Source organism: Homo sapiens, chromosome 3, assembly GCF_000001405.40.
Source record: "Homo sapiens chromosome 3, GRCh38.p14 Primary Assembly".
Classification (NCBI taxonomy): Eukaryota; Metazoa; Chordata; class Mammalia; order Primates; family Hominidae; genus Homo; species Homo sapiens.
This window is the reverse complement of record NC_000003.12, coordinates 41,778,626-41,798,808: the sequence shown is the minus strand read 5'-3', so window position 1 is coordinate 41,798,808 and position 20,183 is coordinate 41,778,626. Positions and strand designations below refer to the sequence as shown.

The 20,183-nt window shown below is 38.9% G+C and overlaps 1 protein-coding gene across 6 annotated transcripts in view; it reads left to right on the top strand.

The window, feature by feature from the left end:
• ULK4 (unc-51 like kinase 4) overlaps nt 1–20,183 on the top strand; it is a 715,505-nt gene that overhangs the window by 163,295 nt on the left and 532,027 nt on the right. For all 6 annotated transcript variants that reach the window (NR_136342.2, NM_001322501.2, NM_017886.4 and 3 more), the window contains one exon: nt 8,966–9,148. Coding sequence is in view for 5 of the 6 variants with exons in the window: in NM_001322501.2 (NP_001309430.1) it covers nt 8,966–9,148 (183 nt within the window). In the remaining variant the exon portion in view is untranslated. The remainder of the gene's footprint in view (nt 1–8,965; nt 9,149–20,183) is intronic.

The following is a 20,183-nucleotide window of genomic DNA, read 5'->3' as shown; positions in this document are numbered from 1 at the left end:
CTCTACTAGATCCTGCTAGTCAGCATTTAGGTGTTTAATTTACCACCCCTGCCCCCTCAACAACACGCACAATCTTGGCTGCATATCCCCCCATTCCTAGCCATACCTCTTTAAAGAGTTATTGCCACATAACTGTTGCTCTTTTCCGGCCCACTTTTCCCTTTTAGCCCAATCTGGTACTGTCCAAAAAATGCCACTGAAGCTAATCTTGCTTAGGTTACTAATAACTTTCATGTTGCTAAATCCTGTGGGTATTTATGGAAATTTTTCAGTTATGTTACCTATATAATCTTGAAGATCAATGGATATAAATCCTGCCCCTGATTATCATTAAGAAAGGATATATAACATTGATTATACACACGTCTGTTTCAGGAGCCACATGTTTTCAAAATTACAAAAACCCACAACTAATTATGGTATTAATAATTACAGGTAAACAATCAGAAACAGTTACAAAGTATACCAGTGAACTTTCTTGAGGCACCTTTGAATAATATTTTAAGACATTCATTTTAATCCTGAGCCTTTAGAAAAATCTGTCTTGTTTTAATTGGGCTTACTTTATAAAGATAACATTATACAGATTTTCATCCTTATACTCAGCATGGTTTCTTTTTTTGGCAAAGTTTTTTTTCAATAGTTCCCACCAAAGTCTCATAACTTCTAGTCCTCCCCTTTTTCTTCTGATGCATCAAGTTTGACTCTATCTTGGGCTTCTTATTACTTGCTCTTAGCATTTATCTGAATCATTAATTTTACATTGAAATTTTGCCAGTTGTCCCAACAGTGTCTCCTTTTTCTTTTCTGTGCAAAGATCCTGTTCAGGAGCATGGGTTGTATTTTCTTTTCTCTTTCTTTCTTTTTTCTTTTCTTTTCTCTTTTCTTTTCTTTTGTTTTGTTTTCTTTTGTTTTCTTTTCTTTCCTTTCATTTTCTTTTTCTTTTTGAGATAGAGTTGTGCTCTTGTCACCCAGGCTGGAGTGCAACGGTGTGATCTTGGCTCACTGCAACCTCTTCCTCCCAGTTTCAGGCGATTCTTGTGCCTCAGCCTCCTGAGTAGCTGGGATTACAGGCATCTGCTGCCACACCCAGCTGATTTTTGTATTTTTTAGTAGAGATGTGGTTTCACCATGTTGGCCAGGCTGGTCTTGAACTCCTGACCTCAGGTGATCCACCCACCTCAGCCTCCCAAAGTGCTGGGATTACAGTCGTGAGCCACTGTGCCCCGCCTGTATTTTGTTTTCATAGCTCTTTAGTCTCCTCCAGTCTGACACAGTTCTTCAGTTTTTGTATTTTTCACGTCATTTACAATTTTTAGAGTGCAGAGCTTTTGTTTTGTGGGGTGAAGCTTAACCTGGGTCTGTCTGTGTTTCCTCATTAAACCTCCATAGCATCCATTGATGACTCTTAACTGTACCAGATACCTCTGGGGTGGTTGTCATGTGATGATTATCCATTTGCATCATTCTTTTTACATCGGAGGTTGGCAAATATTTTCTATAAAGGATCAGATAATAAATATTTTGGGTTTTGTAGCTCATATACAGTCTCTGTTGCATATTCTTTTGGTTTGTTTTGCTTTTCGTAACCCTTTAAAAATGTAAACACCTTTTTTTTTTGCATTGATCATGAGCTATGCAAATTATTTTGATGGCCTTGTATATATAAGTTGGAATTCTATTTTGAGGAAGCACTTTCCTTTCTTCAGCATGCATGTACGTATTCATATCAGCATGGACTTGTGGATATAGATTTTATTCAGTGGGTTGTAATGTGATACTATTACTGCTACTGCTTATTGTTTGGGTGCTCTAATCATCCCAGATTTGGCGAGTGGGATCCCTTCAAGATGACTTCTGTGTCCTTGGACTTATTTCTATCACTGAGCACTTCCTTAACTCCTGATACCACGTACCGTTCTGGGCTCCTTTTGTGCTTTTCCTGTGCCAGCCTTGGAATCAATCATTTCTCCAAGAAATCCTAAGTTTTTAGAAATGAAGATCTGGGTGCTCTTTGTGTTCATTCCCTGGGTGGTGTCATTGTTGCTTCTCACTATTCAAAGCTAGATAAAATATATGTACCCATGCATAGACATTTATATTTTAAAAATGTCTGTCAATGTACACATTTTGAAAAAACCTCATGAATTTATATTTTAATTTTAATACCTCAGAATTCTTTCTAGTCTTCCCTCTTTCTTTCTTTTTGTTTTCCTCAAGACAGAGTGTTGCTCTGTTGCCCAGGCTGGAGTACAATCATGCAATCTCAGGCCACTGCAACCTCTGCCTCCTGGGTTCAAGTGATTCTCCTGACTCAGCTTCCCGAATAGCTGGGATTACAGGTGCATGCCACCACATCCGGTTAATTTTTTTGTAGTTTTTAGTAGAGAGGATGTTTCATCATGTTGGCCAGGCGGGTCTCAAACTCCTGACCTTGTGATCTGTCTGCCTTGGCCTCCCAAAGTGCTGGGATTACAGGCGTGAGCCACCACGCCTGGTCTAGTCTTCCCTCTTTCTGTGTTTGTAGAACTCTTCTCAGACAGAGAGAGACTGGGTTCTCATTATTCTCAATATACTTACTGATTTGTTCATTCAGTTCATTTGTTCCCCTTAGTGTAACCAGCTCCCATTCACTCCCCGCTGGAGGCCTCCTCCATATTACCCCAACCTCCCTTGCTGCTACCACTCTGCTTCCTTGGCCACTCCTCAGCTCAGCACACTCTTTTCCCTCATTGACCTCCTTTCTCAGACTGACATATGGATACTGGGCGGGAAGGTTAGGAAGGAGCATTAAGGAAAGCAAAGGGCTAGACATCCTCTTTGATACTTTCCTTTCCCTTAAGTTCTTCCACTTTATTGTTTACAACCAGCTGGTCAACTTGTCCTGTGATTCTAACTCATCAGCATCTCTCAGATCTGCTCACATCTCTCTGCAGCTGTATGGCTACTTCCATAATCCAGGCCACTGCCATCTCTCACCTGGACCACTGGAGTAGCTTGCTAAATGGTCTTCCAACGTCCAGTTTTAGGCTCCACCAACTTGATTCTCCACACAAAATGAACTTCATAAAATCATATCTCTTCTTCTTACCTGCTTAAACTTTTCAAAGCTTTCAATTTTTTTGGAAGGGTTAATAATACTTTATTCATAGTACTAGGTAGAAGTTGAAAATTGATGACCGCTTTAAGGTAATATTAATGTTTAAAGCAGCACATTTTGCTTAGTAAATTAGTTATGTTTATTTTATTATAATGTCATACATTTTAAACTCCTTGAAATCTAGGACTATGTTTTGTTTATCTCTCTCTGTTTGATACCAGGCCTGTTGATTGCAAGTTAAGATTTTTCTTGCAAAGATTAAGAGGGAGCATCCTGCCCTACGTGTGAGTAGAGGGCAGAGGTTAGTAAGATTAAACTCCCCTCTTTACTGGGAGACAAAGAGGAATAGGCCATAAGATTCCTGCTAATAACAAAAGGCAGGTGGGGGAACAGCATGAGATCATTATACAGTTACTCTAACATCATAATCTTAACAAAAAAAATTGCACCTGCACGGTTAATAGATTTACATGAGGATTTATTAAAGACTGAGGTTATAGGAACTGAGTATATGCATTTGGAAGATAATTCACACACATTCCTGGCAAGGAATGACAATTGCCTCCTCTCTGGGATGGCTTACAGAGCTGAATCTCCTTTTTAAGGTCTTTTTCGCTATTTACCTCTCAGGAGCACGTCTTGTAGGTTAATGGATACATTTGATGATACAGGTCAGAATTCTTAACATGACCTTCAGTATCTTGCATGATTTGGCCCTTGCCTACCTCTTTGGTTCCATCTTGTAACACTCCTTCCCTCCTTCACTCTGTCTCCAAACTTACCTTCAGACATTTCCTAGGATTTCCAAGTATTTTTCTGCCTCAGGACCTTTCCTCCTTGCTGTTTCCTGTGCCTGGATGTTCTCTGCTGGTTTTTTACATGGCCAATTCCTTATTTCAGGTCTCAGCTTAAGTGTTACCTCCTCAATTAGGACCTCCCTGACTCTGCTCTCTCGCCTCTAATGAATGCAGCTTTATTTATTTAATGTATTTATACACAGGTTTGTGGTTTTTTTTTCTGTGTTTTTTTTTTTTTTTTTTTTTTTTTTGAGACAGAGTCTTGCTCTGTCACCCAGGCTGGAGTGCAGTATTGTGATCTCAGCTCACTGCAACCTCTGCCTCCTGGGTTCAAGCGATTCTCCTGCCTCAGCCTCCTAAGTAGTTGAGATTACAGGTGTCCACCATGCCCGGCCAATTTTTCTATTTTTAGTAGAGATAGGGTTTCACCATGTTGGTCAGGCTGGTCTTGAACTCCTGACCATGTGATCCACCCACGTCTGCCTCCCAAAGTGCCAGGATTACAGGCGTGAGCCACAGCGTCCGGCCTTATGCACAGTTTTTTCTCATTAGTGTAAGTTCCAGGAAGACAAAAGTCCTGTTGTTCCTTTTCTGGGCACATGGTAGATGCTCAGTAGATATCTGCTAATCAGATGAATGAATGAGCAGGTGGAGGATAGCAAGGCTTAGTGCTGAGGGAGCAAGCTCTACATGTTGTTCCACTTGTAACTGTCTGTATTTCCTGCCTGTCAGTGATTTTCTGACCTGTTTCTCCTAATGATCTCTTGGCTCCATAGATTGTTCTACACTAGTGTGTTCTCCACACCAGCAACATTAACATTTCTTGGGAACTTGATAGAAGTGTAGTTTTTTGGGCCCAAACCCAGACTTACTGCACGAGAGTCCCCCTGGGGAGAGGCCAGTAATCTCTATTTTAACATGCTTCCAGGTGATGTTGCCTGCTGATATTTAAGAACCACTGCCCTAGTCCTTGCAGCTCTTAAAATACACCAGTGTGGCTTAGAGTAAAATATAACTAACTTGTCCTTTCCACTCAGGAGTGGCAGCATTGGTAGGTATTGGTAGTTGGAAGGAGTGGACCTGACTTGGGGAATGTGTTGAATAGATAAAAGTGATTCTTAGACTTATTGGGATTATAGGGAAAATCTCTATAGGGACCATAGTGAGAACCAGAGAAACCTGTAGAGTTAGATTGAGTAAAGTGGCTCCTATGAGAGAGGTAGCTGAAGTAATCATAATTACTGAAGTGCTGAGATGAAAAGGTGTCAAAAAGTGAAGAAGTATGCAGGATAGTGGTTCTCACTAGGGTTGGAGGGGAGCTTTTCAAGCAACATTAACTACTTCCTCTTCTCTGTCCACCCCCTGCCCCTATTCTGATATATCTTAAGATCTCTCAGGGGTCAGATAAGAGTGTGTGTAGTTTGAAAAACCTCCCAGGGTAATTTCATATGACATCAAAAAATCATTTGAAATACCAAAAAGAAATGGTTCTTAAACCTTTTCTTCCTTGGTGATTCTGCTCATATGTTTCTAACAGATATGCAGCCTTCAATTTTGAGTGAGTCTGTTTCTTGGAAACTGCTTTTATTGAACAGACTGTAAGAAAATTCAAATTCTGGAGGTAACACTAAATGTTCTTTTCGAAGTAAATTTTGAAGTGAATTTTGAACTGGAACAGTTTTTTCCAGTTTTAAAATATAATCTCAGACTCTATTTTTTTTTTGTTGGTTTTTTTTTTGAGATGGAGTTTCACTCTTGTTGCCCAGGCTGGAATGCAGTGGCATGATCTTGGCTCATTGCAACCTCCGCCTTCTGGTTTCAAGTAATTCTCCTGCCTCAGCTTCCTGCATAGCTGGGATTACAGGCACCCGCCAGCAGGTGCGGCTAATTTTTGTATTTTTAGTAGAGATGTGGTTTTACCTTCTTGGCCAGGCTGGCCTGAAACTCCTGACCTTGTGATCCGCCTGCATCAGCCTCCCTGAGTGCTGGGATTGCAGGCGTGAGCCACTGCGCCCGGCCATACTCTATTTTAATAAGTAAATGTTTAAAAACCACATCACTGAAGATCAGATTTGATTTGATTTCTTTTCTTTTGATTCAGAAAATACAAGTACTAGTGTGCTGTTAAGGCTCTGTGCATCTTCTCAGTTGCTCAGAAGCTTTCAAGTGAGTTTGATATTTAGAAGTGAATTAAAGAGTATTTTCTGCCTGAGCTTTTCAAAATGGAAAGTCTGTTAGGCTTTTGCACAGCATTCTGAAGAAGATCCATTCCAGTTGCCCAGAAGTAGTCTGGGAAAATCTTTTATTAAGAAATTTCCCCATCATAACTGGATAGGGATTTTATAACAATGGGAAGTTGGTTTTGCAGTGCCAGGTCCTCCAAGAATTGTTATAGTGCTAATGAGACTTACTGTTGTGCTGTGTTGAAGTCATTGAATCCTAATTTGCTAGAAAAATTCTGATCTTTAAGGACATCACTTCAAATGATCTTTTTTTTAAAAAAAATACTTGGATTAGGAAAATAATTAAACAATACTGTTTGATTTCATAAACAGCAATTTTAGACTCATTTTTAAAACTTTCACAATTTTTATTTTTTAAAGATTACTTTCTATACACACACACACCCCTACCTCTCAAAATTTTAAAATCATAACCAGATTTTTAGAAGTGAATTCATTTTTCTGTTGTTACATGGACATAGAGAAAAAAATAAAGTGAATTCATTTTTAATATTCCTCTTTTCAGATATTACTACTATTGATACTTTTCTACCAAAACTCATGCAATTTGGAATTTAGATTTGAAGAACCCTAGTTTCATATTTCCTAAACCATGGTATCTGATTTACCCATCTGTAGCTTTTTTGAAAGAGGACACACTGAAAAGTTATTTGAAAAATGCCCAAAGTAGAGTTTAATTATTTGATGGGATTTCATTCTGATATGGATATCTCCAAATGAATAAAAATCCCTGGTATATGTTTGAAATGGAGTCAGTGATTATTAATTCTGTAGGTGTTTGTAGAATTTTATAGGTGTTTCATATGATAGTTCCACAAGGAAAGGGACTTGTTTTTAGGGAGAGGTATATAGTTGGTGCTCTACAAATGCTCATTTTTTCAGTGCATATATTTACTTGTTTATTTCAGAAATGGCAGTAAATGTATAGAGTATTAATTTAAAAATCTCCCATAAATGTTTATTTCAATACAAGTAAAAAAGTATCTAATATAGTCATTGGCATTGGAGTGTAACTTTAAATATTACTATAAAATAATATGCATTTACTGGAAAAATTTGAATGGTATAAACGTGGAAGATCGAAGGTTCTTCGTGGCCCCATTCCTACCTCCCATCTCTCAGTCCTGCCCTCAAGAGGAAGCATCTGGAAAAAGTCCTAGATTTTCCTTGATGTGAGTTATATTTACCTTTTCCTTTCTGGCTATAATAAAGTCATCTTAGCATTTTCATAAAGATTGAGGCTGGGTGCAGTGGCACATACCTGTAATCCCAGCACTTTGGGAAGCCGAGGTGGGCAGATCATCTGAGGTCAGGAGTTCGAGACCAACCTGGCCAACATGGTGAAACCCTGTCTCTACTAAAAGTAACACAAATAGGCCAGATGCGGTGGCTCATGTCTGTAATCCCAGCACTTTGGGAGGCCAAGGCAGGCAGATCACGAGGTCAGGAGATCGAGACCATCCTGGCTAACACGGTGAAACCCCGTCTCTACTGAATAACATTTAAAGGAAGATTATTCTTGGAGAGAAAAAGGTTTTTAATTTTTTTCTAAGATGTTTAAGAAAATGGAAATATTTTTCAAAGTCTTTTTATGTTTTTTATATATCCCTCTCTCCTGTCCCTCCTCTTAACATCATTATTTCTAACAGTTTGTTTTATATTTGATCTTTTTGTTATTAAGGTTATAAATCTGTTTAAAATATAAATCAGGGAGAAGGAGCTTATATGATATTATAATGAGTATTTTTATAAAACTATTCATAGCTTAAGCTTATTTCTCTCTTTGGAGTCACTCGTACACACAGAATATCATCATGTCTTTCCTTTCCTTAAAAACTTTCAAGGCCTTCCCTTTCCTTATGGCATAAAATTTTAAGTTCCTAGCTTTGTTGACCAACTCTGGCTCCAGCTTGCTTTTCTAGATAGATCATAAGGTTTTCTTCTTTCCTACTGTGTACTTCTTTTTCTACACCTGATAAATGTTCTAATTGCATCAGACAGCTTACGTCTTTATGTCTCCATGTGAATACTTGTTCTATTCTCTCAAGTTTGAATCTTTTCTTAACTCACTTTTTCACCTATTTCCCATCTACCCTTCAAAAACTGGCTCAGCGTCATCTTCTTTATGTACCTTTTGTTGACTTTTTCTTCCTTTCCAAGCACGATTAATTGAGCCCACTTCTATTCCAACACTTAATACATTCTATTAGCTGATTTTAAGTTTCATGTCTAATAGTCTGAGAGCAATTTAGGAACGGTCTAGGGTCTGATTATATCGGTTTAATTTCCTGCTTTGCTACTTACTAGCTATATGCCTTTGGGCAAGTTACTTAACTACTGTATGCTTTAGTTTTATCATCTATAAAATGAGGATAATAATACTACCTTTCTCATAGTTGTTAGAAGAATTAATTGAGGTAATCTTCAGATATTTACAGATAGTGTTTCTCACATTATAAATGATAAATGTTAGATATTCACTTTTACAACTGTTTTTCAGCACTTAGTTCATTGTCTGCAGGTGTTTGATAATGTGTTTTATTAATTAAAGGGACATTTTTCTATATAGGCTTATGAATTTATCAATTTAATGGTTATTACTACAATAGTCTCTAGTGTTTTAAAACAACCTTAGCTTTTATTGGCAGGCAGATTGTTTTATTTTTAAGTTTGTTGAAAATTGCCAACTTTCTTGTGCCAAAATAAGTAATAAAAGAGCCAAGTAAGCACCTTCTACTCCTTGACACAGAAGCATGTGTTACCTTTCAGGGGAATGATTGATGCACTTGGAGTTGCCTGACAGGTCTGTTCTCTTGTCTTTGTAGGCCTTGTGTAGAATCACTCGCCATTCTCCTACTGCCTTCCAGAATGTTATTGAAAAGGTGGGACTGAACTCAGTAATAAACTCCCTGGCCTCTGCCATCTGCAAAGTTCAGCAGTACATGTTGACCTTATTCGCTGCCATGTTGTCCTGTGGGATTCATCTTCAAAGACTAATCCAAGAAAAGGTTTGACTTAGATTTTACCTGTTACTCTACATTAAAAATTGTTTTCTTCTGCATTTTAGTGGTTCCACAAGTAATGTCATGTTTGTAGAATTCATTTTTTATCCCAAGAGGCCTTTTTGAACTTTGCCAAACCTTTGTACCACAGAATGTTCATCTGAACATGTTCCAAGAGCCTTTTAGTGATTAAAATAGAAATTCTTTAAATGGCTTCTGCCTACTTGTCCCATTTCAGTAATGTTAAACTGAAAATGTCTCAGTCCTTCCTATATGCTGGCATTTCTTATGCCTCACCAACTCCAGCTTCCATCTCTTTCTCCCATGGCCTTTGCCTTTTTTAGGGGGAGGAGTCCCTTTATATTTTTCTGCTTGCTCTGACCTATTTTTATTCCTTTCCTTGTAATACTCTGCCAGTTGAAATTATAGAGCCCCCATTCTGTTTTTAACCTATCCTCTTCTAGTCCTTTATATGCCTTTATTATATATACAGTAGAGTTTGTAAGTACTAAATTCGTATCACAGAACTGTATAGTGATAAACAGGGCTCTCTAGTAGCCTTTCTCAAAGTGTCTTCTCTAGTCCCTTGTTAAAGAGTGATCCCTGGACCAGCAGCATTGACATCACCTAGAAGCTTGTTGGAAATGCAGACTTTTAGGCCCCATGCAGACCTTCTGAATCAGAATCTACATTTTAGTGAGATCTCTAGGTGATTTGTTTGAACTTTATGCTTTGAGAAGCTTTGCTTGAGAATATTAGTGTTTGATGATGTGTTAACAGGTAAAAAATAAAGTAGGCCTGGCTATATATAAATTTGGAAAGCAATGATTCAAACTTAGAAATATTTTCAGTTGTACAATTTTTCCCAGTTTTTAATATGCTAATGTGTATTGTGATTGTGAATTCTCATGAGGGGAAAGTAGTATGCAGCATTATTTCAACCAGTCATTTTCTTTTTCTTTTTTTCTTTTTTTTTTGAGATGGAGGCTCGCTCTGTCGCCCAGGCTGGAGTGCAGTGGTGTGATCTCAGCTCACTGCAAGCTCCGCCTCCTGGGTTCACGCTGTTCTCTTGCCTCAGCCTCCTGAGTAGCTGGGACTATAGGTACCCGCCACCACGCCTGGCTAATTTTTTGTTTTTGTATTTTTAGTAGAGACGGGGTTTCACCGTGTTAGCCAGGATGGTCTCGATCTCCTGAACTTGTGATCCGCCCTCCTTGGCCTCCCAAAGTGCTGGGATTACAGGTCTTTTTTTCTATAAGAGGTAGAGAGGTGTACCTTTCAATTCAGAGTTTTGCAAAACATGATGAAGGTAACACTGCTTAGAAGTGTGGAATGGAACCACTTAAATACACTGTTTACCATGCTTCTTCTGCTTTAAATGAAACACATTAAATTTTGGTTTTTATAATGAAACTTAAAATGTCAGTAACTATTATGAATAACTCTCAGATTTGCATAGTAAACTTAATCTTTGGAAGTCCAAATAGAGGTAAACCACTTCTTGTCTTTAATTATTCTGATTTAGATTCTGCTAAGAAATTTGTGCCTCAGAGACAGTATTTTTTTCTAACAAATCTATGTGTCTAGTTTTTGCTATTAAATTTTCACTCATTAAATGTTCTTATTGTTATATTAGAAAAAGTAATACTTGAATAATTTTACCAGGTAATCCGTGGTTAGAGAGGCTGAGAGTTTTAGAAGAATTTGTGTGTGTGTGTGTTTTACCTTCAGCACAGGCATGGATTGATTAAGTTTCAAATATAGTATTTCACAAAAGCAGTAAAATAGGTTGTTATGTTAATATAATTTTAATTATTTATCATATATAACTACTATTCCACATGTCTTAAGGAAATGAGCAATTGTATGGCGTGATAAACAGTCTTTTACTTTTGATTAGTATTGGTACATTAAAAAAGTTTTTATTGTGGTAGATAACACATAACATAGAACTTATAATTTTAACCATTTTGAAGTGTACAGTTCAGTAGTGTTAAATATGTTCACATTGTTGTGAGACAGATCTCCAGAACCTTTTTATCCTGCAAAACTGAAAGTCTATACACATAAAACATTTTGGGTGGTGGTGGATGTTATTTGAATCTTCTATTTTAGAGTCCCCTCTGACACTGAATTGGCAGGGGGAAGAAGGGTGCTGCATTGATGTTGCTGGGTTGGGATGGAAGCACAGATCCCCAGTGGACTGCTTTTGCCACCTCAGGAGGTAGAAGAGCTCCTCATTACTGCTGGGTGAGAGTGCGAGGTCAGGCTTTCCACCAGGACTCCTCTGATGCTACCCCGGCTGCTGAGGGGAAGGGATCCTCATCATTGCCTCCACTGATGCTGGTGGAGTGGAATGGATGCCTCATCACTGGGGAAACATTGTACAGCATGGTGGAGGACTTTCTGTCGTTGGGTTGGGATGAAAGCCCCAGCTCTCTGCTTGGTCTTTTGTGACTCCACTCTGGCAGGGGATAATGCTGGGGCACCTTGCCATGGTCACATGAGGTTGGAAGTCTAGGCTCCCTACTTGCTCTTTGCTGGTGGGGTTGGGGTGTGGTTTTTCCATGGTGCTTGGCTGAAGTAGAGTAGCTATTTTCTAAAAATTTTCTGTCTTGCCAGGCTGCCCCTCTCTTGGTCCTTTGGTTTGAGAGAGCTGTTTTTTCTTGTGTATTTGTGTATGTATACCTGTTGGTGCTTCTAGACCCTTGGATTTTTCAGCACCCAATCTGGGATATAAGAGGCAAAAAGACAACTCAGTGAATGCATTGCTGTGTTGATCCTCAGGTTTCAAGGCCCCTAGCTGGTCTTCTGCCTTCTTTCCATGTATCTGTCATCTTATATTTGTTTTATATATATTGTCCAGGGTTTTTGGCTGTACTTAGTAGTAGGAATAGAGAGAAGTGCATCTTCTCTCTCTTGTCTTCTAGTTTTTTAAATGTATCTGTGACACCTCAATAATGTACAATGAATTTCTATTTAGAGTTCAAGATTCTATTTTAATAAAAAGATTAACAATTAAAAAATTTACAATTTATTGAACATTTGCTTTTTTTTTTTTTTTTTTTGGAGACAGGATCTCACTCTGGTTGCCCAGACTGGAGTGCAGTGGTGTGATCTTGGCTCATTGTAGCCTTGGCCTTCTGGGCTCAGGTGACCACCTCAGCCTCCTGAGTAGCTGGGACTACTGGCGTGCACCGCCATGTCTGGCTAATTTTTGTATTTTTTTGTAGAGATGGGGTCTTGCTATGTTGCCCAGGCTGGTCTTGAACTCCTGGATTCAGGTGATCCCCCGTCGCAGCCTCCCAAGGTGCTGGGATTACAGGTGTGAGCCACCATTCCTGGCCCTGAATGTTTACTTTGGGCCAAATGATTTTCAACTCTGAATCTTTCACAGATGAGACAGTGTGTTGAGTAATTTTGTCGAGTTCTTGGAGTGTATAAGTGCTAGATATAAGTGCTTATGCCCTAACAGGAGGGGCTGATAATAAACAAAACGCAGTAATTTGGGATAGTTTTAGTGTCCTGAAGAACATAGAACAGGGTATGTGATAGAGTGACTGTTAGGGGCAGTGTGCAGGTGGAGTGGAGCCACACATTATTAGCCTAGGTTAGGTTGGAGAACAGTCAGGGAAGGCCTCTCTGAGAAGGTGCATTCTGGCCTTGGATGATAAGAAAGAGCTTGGAATGTGAAGATCTAGGGGAAGAACTTTGTGGTTCAGCCTTCCTGAAGTGTGAGAGATCTTAGGGAGATGTGGGAAGAGAAAGAAGGTCATCAGAGTTGGAGCACAGCCAGCAGGGAGGAAGGGACATGGAAGAACCTGGGCAGTTGGAAGAAGACCCAGCTCAGGTAGGGTCATGATATTGGCCTTCCTAAGGGGTTTTAGTGCAATGATCATTGTCTTATTGTTACTTAAAGAAAAGTGAGTGTCGTCTATACCTGTCTATACATGTGTGTTTGAGGTGCAGATTTACCAGCCTTATTGTTGATAGGTTAGAATGAGTGGAAGAGGAAGAGACCCAGGAGCAAATACAAAATTGCTTCCTGTTGAACAGGGAGAAGGAATTCTACGTGTTGTTTTTTGGCGGGATTGACGCTCATATATTATGGTCTTTTACAATGGAAACCCAGTCTCCAAAAGAGTTCCATTCCCTTCCTTTTAAATAAAAGAAATTACTGTTTGCTACAGAAAACTTAGAAGACTCTAAAGAAGAAAACAAAATTAGCTGGAATCTCACTACCCAGACATAATTTTTGTTAACATGTTGGTTTATCTCTTTCTAGTTTTCTGTCTGCGTCTATGCATTTTATGCACACATTTACCAAGTTAAAATAAAATTGTGTTGATTTTTCTTGCTGTTTTCATGAGTATTTTACTATGTCATTAAATGTTCCTCAGGGATATTAAAAGAAACTTGTTATATGATTTATTTTGTGATGCACCAATAATTTAACTCTTCCTCCACTATTGAACTGTTTGGCTCCTGTTTTTTGGTTGCTACTCATCATGATATGATGAACACCCTGTTACATACATCTTTGTGTTCACCTCTAATAGATTACTCAAGTGTTATACACATTTGTAAGGTGCTGCCTTAATGTTGCTTGATTGTTCTTTGGAAAGGTAGATTATGTGGGTACCATTTATTTGTAATTTATCCAGCAGTCGTTTAAGCCACATGCTGTATTTTTCTTATAATAAAACCTAGAGTTTAACATTATTTAATTATCAGTATACTTCATGTTTTCATAGTTATTTGTAGTTTGTAATTAATCTCTGATTCTCCATTTGAAATTTGTAACTGTAGCCAGGTTTTCATCTTAAACTAACAAGGTGGTAGAGTCTATTCTCTTCTGAATCATAGACATTTTCTTGAGTGGATGTTTATGTATTGAAGGAACTTGTTCAGTTCACATTGTCATCTGCATTAGCTACTTGGGTGTCAGTGTCCTTAGATGGTTATTATTCAGCAGCTATTTGGATGAGTAGCCATTTGCATCATGAGTGCTTGATTTATTTTGTGTCATCATCTTTAAAATGATTTGCTTGCCCATAGATGTCCTTAATAGAAGAAGATTCCTTTATCCAAAACAACTGTTAGTTCCATACACTGTGATGTTAAAAGTGAACAATCACAACCACAATGAGAGGGGACTTTTGATTAAAAATCAAAGTAAAAAACCACCTTTTTCCATTTTTCCCCCTAAACACTTAATAGGAAACTTTTTTTTTGAGACGGAGTTTTGCTTGATTTCCAGGCTGGAGTGCAATAGAGTGATCTCGGCTCACCGCAACCTCCGCCTCCTGGGTTCAAGCGATTCTCCTGCCTCAGGCTCCCGAGTAGCTGGGATTACAGGCATGTGTCACCACGCCTGGCTAATTTTGTGTTTTTAGTAGAGATGGGGTTTCTCCATGTTGGTCAGCCTGGCCTCAAACTCCCAACCTCAGATGATCTACCTGCCTCGGCCTCCCAAAGTGCTGGGATTGTAGGTGTGAGCCACCACGCCTGGCCAATAGGAAACTTTTTGAACTATTGGCAGATGGTACTTTATATGTGATTCTTGAATCACTGCTAGATGTAGGGAATTGATTACCTTTTTATAATTCAGATGCTTGAATGACTGACCAAGAAGCTTCTGGAAGACCTGATCAAGTAGAAGAAAAAATCTTGTAGGTTAGGTATGAGTTTATTTACTAATCCTTGTACTCCAAACTCTTTTATTTTTCTAGTTTACTTTGTAGTCATTTTTCTGGTACTTCCAAGCTGTTAATGTTTCCTGCAAATATTTCATTTTCAAGGCTGGAAAAGTCTGAGAGTTCATGGATGTTTCCTGCTGTTTATTGGGGAGAAATATATTGGATGAGCTCATTACAATTTTCTATAATTACAATACCTAAAAACTTAAAGTAGTCAATGCTAATTTACTTTAATTGTTATCAGACTGTATAGTGACAAATTTTAGGATTCATATGAGTAGTATAGAGAATTCAAGCTGGGCACAGTGGTATGCACCTGTAGCCCCTGTTGCTTGGGAGGCTGTGGCTAGAGGATTGCATGAACCTAAGAGTTCAAGGCCTGCCTGGACAACATGATAAGACCCCATCTCTCCCTCTCTTTTTTTTTTTTTTGAGACAGAGTCTTGGTCTGTTGCCTAGGCTGGAGCGTAGTGGCATGATCTCGGCTCACTGCAACCTTCGCCTCCTGGTTCAAGCAATTCTTATGTCTCAGCCTCCCAAGTAGCTGGGGTTATAGGCATGAGCCACTGCACCTAGCTAATTTTTGTATTTTTAATAGAGACAGAGTTTTGCCATGTTGACCAGACTGGTCTCGAACTCCTGGCCTCAAGCAGTCGGCCCTCCCCAGCCTCCCAAAGTGCTGGGATTACAGATGTGAGCCACTGCTCTGGCTAAGACTCCGTCTCTATTTAAATAAAAAAAGAAAATTCAGAATATGTGGAATCAGAACACCAAAGGCCAAAGTTAAACATTTACCTCTCTGAGGTAATCTCTGTAAAAAATTTGATATATATCCTTTCAAATTCGTACTTGCTATGCATATATATACATATACACATGTACGCGTTGACATATTCCCTCTTCTCTGCTGTCATGCTATTAGTCTTTTTTTTTTTTTTGGTAGAAATTGGACCAACCCAACTCTATGTTCTTTGCTGGCTCATATTTCTCCTATTCAGTGATGTGTTACGAATGTGTGTTTAAGTCAATTTATGCAACTCTTCAATATCATTTTAAAAGGTTATGATATACGATCATTTAAAGGTATTGCAATTCATTCCTACAGTCCTCTTTTGCACATTTAATAATTTCCATTGATTTGCCAGGGAGAACATTCTTATGGCTAAATCCTTTTGTATGGACATCCTTAGTTATTCCCTTAAGATAAACTTTTAAATAAAGTTACTAAATTAGTCTCATTTCTTAAAAAGTTCTTTTTTGGTAGTTTATATGTAACACTGTAGTTTTATATGTACTTGCAAATAGCTATAGTGCCAGTAAAAAATGTGATAAAATTAAACTCTTTCACATATGCCAAAAATACTTTGATTTAACGCTTCATTAAGTTCCTGATTACAGTCTCTATATCTTTTGATTTACCTTTCTATCTTTAAAATTTTCAGCCGAGATACTTAGAGGTCACATAGTAAACTAAGGTTTTCTTTTTTTAATCATCTCCGTCTTTTTAAATTTGGTGAGTCACAGTAAGTTATTTTTGGGTTGTTGAAAGCTGTGTCTCTGTTCTAAATTTGAGCGCAGAAATCATGCCACTTACAAAATAATGCTTTGTCTTCTGACATCAGAGTGTCTGGTAGAAGGTGACTGCTCTTGGAACTTAAAAAATCTAAACAGGACAAGAACAGAATCTGGAAAATATTTCTGTTTCTGATAATATGGCTGAGTAGGTACTCTGCAAACCCTCTCTCATAAAATAGGCATGCCAGATAGTCCTTGCAAAGACATACTTGAACTTGCCCAAAAAAAAAAAAAAATTCAGAATCGCTATGAAGATGAAGTGAAAATCAGAAAGGTTACTGTGAGAATAATGGCGAGGCAGCCCCAGTTATCAAGGGATGTGTGCATGTGTTCAATAAAAAGTTTCAAACCTAAAAAAAAGTTGAGAAAAATAATATAATTGCCCAACATAAACACATCATCAACAATTTTTCATTCATGGCCAAATTTTGTTTGTATGTTTGTTTGTTTTTTTAGGTGGAATTTTGCTGTGGTTGCCCAGGCTGGAGTGCAGTGGCATGATCTCGGCTCACTGCAACCTCCGCCTCCCGGGTTCAAGTGATTCTCCTGCCTCAGCCTCCCGAGTAGCTGGGATTACAGGTGCCTGGCACCACGCCTAGCTGAATTTTGTATTTTTAGTAGAGCTGGGGTTTCACCATGTTGGCCAGGCTGGTCTCGAACTCCTGACCTCAGGTGATCCACTCGCCTCAGCCTCCCAGAGTGCTGGGATTACAGGCATGAGCCACTGCACGTGACCATGGCCAGTTTTGTTTCATTTATATTCCTACTTCATTTATATACATTCCTTCTTCCTCTGAATTATTTTGAAGCAAAATCTATACATCATATCATTTTGTAATTACCTTATATGTATCTGTAGAAGACAAGGAATTTTAAAAAGTAAATATATTCACAAAGTCATTAAAGACCAAAAAATTAATACATTCTCAAAATAGCCACAAATCCAGTCAGAGTTCACTTTTTTTTTTTTTTTTTTAAGATGGAGTCTCGCTCTGTTGCCCAGGCTGGAGTGCGGTGGCGCGATCTTGGCTCACTGCAAGCTCCGCCTCCTGGGTTCACGCCATTCTCCTGCCTCAGCCTCCTGAGTAGCTGGGACTACAGGCACCCGCCACCATGCCCGGCTAATTTTTTGTATTTTTAGTAGAGACAGGGTTTCACCGCAGAGTTCATATTTTCCTGACCTTCTCATAAATGATTTTTTCTAGGTTATCTGTTTCAATCAGATATCTGTTTGCAAATATAGGTAAATATGTCTCATCTTCTGTCTGTCTCTCCTCTCTCTTGCTTTCTCTCTCTGTATGTATAGAGAAAAATATATTTTTATGTATGTATTTGTATAAATATATATTTTTCTATCTATAAATCTCTCTTTCTGCCTCTATCTTCTCTTTCTCTGTGTTTACCTCTCTTTCTTTATATCTCTGCTTATCTATAGGTAAAGGGTTAACAAAACCTTTCCTTCCCCTTTCTGTGTGGGAATTTGAATTTCAGTTAACTTTGGAACTCTGTGTCTCTGGGAACCCGATAAGACCAACCTATTATTTGTATTATGAAGCAGGACTGCTTGTGGTTAAAATGGCCCCTGATTGGTAAATTGCATCTAAGCTGGAGAGTGATAAATACTTGGTAGAAAGCCATAGCTTTGGGGTTCCCTAAGTGCAGTGACTCTGGTTTCTATGGAAACTCTGGAAGCTATGGCTATGGAGTTGTTACAAGGTTGGTGCTTGTGTGGTTGGAAGTTCCTAAGCCTAGGTGGCTCCCATACCTACCCAGTGTGGCTCTCTTCTTAATGCACCTGAGCTGTGCTGCCCAGCCTGCTGCAAGGACTCCAGCAGGAGAAGAGCATCAATTGTAGCCTTGCTGGCAAGCTCAGGTTCCTGAACAAACTGACAGAAAATGTGATCTTGGGTAGTCTCTTGAATCTGTGTGCTTCGTTGACTCTAAAAAGACCTTTGGTGGGTGCCACGATATTTTCTCCCTAAAATATAAAAGATAACATCTTTTATATTTTTAATATAAATTTTTATATTTTAATATAAAAGATAAAAGATAGCATACACCATCATGCACTTTATTTAATTTTTGACCCAGGGTGGGGTCTCTTTCTCCGAGGCTGGAGTACAGTGGTGTGATCTTGGCTCACTGAAACCGCTGCCTCCTGGGCTCAAGCTGTCTTTCCACCTTCCAGGGTGGCTGGGACCACAGGTGTGTGCCACCACACTCGGCTTTTTTTTTGTATTTTCGGTAGAGACTGGGTTTCGCCATGCTGCCCAGGCTGCTATCGAGCTCTTGGGCTCAGGTGATCCACCTGCCTCAGCCTCCCAAAGTGTTTCCAAAGTGTTGGAAATTGCAGATGTGAGCCACGGCATCTGGCCCATTTTGTACCTTTTTTTTTTTTTTTTTTTTTATTATACTCTAAGTTTTAGGGTACATGTGCACATTGTGCAGGTTAGTTACATATGTATACATGTGCCATGCTGGTGCGCTGCACCCACTAATGTGTCATCTAGCATTAGGTATATCTCCCAATGCTATCCCTCCCCCCTCCCCCGACCACACCACAGTCCCCAGAGTGTGATATTCCCCTTCCTGTGTCCAAGTGATCTCATTGTTCAATTCCCACCTATGAGTGAGAATATGCGGTGTTTGGTTTTTTGTTCTTGCGATAGTTTACTGAGAATGATGGTTTCCAATTTCATCCATGTCCCTACAAAGGATATGAACTCATCATTTTTTATGGCTGCATAGTATTCCATGGTGTATATGTGCCACATTTTCTTAATCCAGTCTATCATTGTTGGACATTTGGGTTGGTTCCAAGTCTTTGCTATTGTGAATAGTGCCGCAATAAACATACGTGTGCATGTGTCTTTATAGCAGCATGATTTATAATCCTTTGGGTATATACCCAGTAATGGGATGGCTGGGTCAAATGGTATTTCTAGTTCTAGATCCCTGAGGAATCGCCACACTGACTTCCACAATGGTTGAACTAGTTTACAGTCCCACCAACAGTGTAAAAGTGTTCCTATTTCTCCACATCCTCTCCAGCACCTGTTGTTTCCTGACTTTTTAATGATTGCCATTCTAACTGGTGTGAGATGATATCTCATAGTGGTTTTGATTTGCATTTCTCTGATGGCCAGTGATGATGAGCATTTCTTCATGTGTTTTTTGGCTGCATAAATGTCTTCTTTTGAGAAGTGTCTGTTCATGTCCTTCGCCCACTTTGTGATGGGGTTGTTTGTTTTTTTCTTGTAAATTTGTTTGAGTTCATTGTAGATTCTGGATATTAGCCCTTTGTCAGATGAGTAGGTTGCAAAAATTTTCTCCCATGTTGTAGGTTGCCTGTTCACTCTGATGGTAGTTTCTTTTGCTGTGCAGAAGCTCTTTAGTTTAATTAGATCCCATTTGTCAATTTTGGCTTTTGTTGCCATTGCTTTTGGTGTTTTGGACATGAAGTCCTTGCCCACGCCTATGTCCTGAATGGTAATGCCTAGGTTTTCTTCTAGGGTTTTTATGGTTTTAGGTCTAACGTTTAAATCTTTAATCCATCTTGAATTGATTTTTGTATAAGGTGTAAGGAAGGGATCCAGTTTCAGCTTTCTACATATGGCTAGCCAGTTTTCCCAGCACCATTTATTAAATAGGGAATCCTTTCCCCATTGCTTGTTTTTCTCAGGTTTGTCAAAAATCAGATAGTTGTAGATATGCGGCATTATTTCTGAGGGCTCTGTTCTGTTCCATTGATCTATATCTCTGTTTTG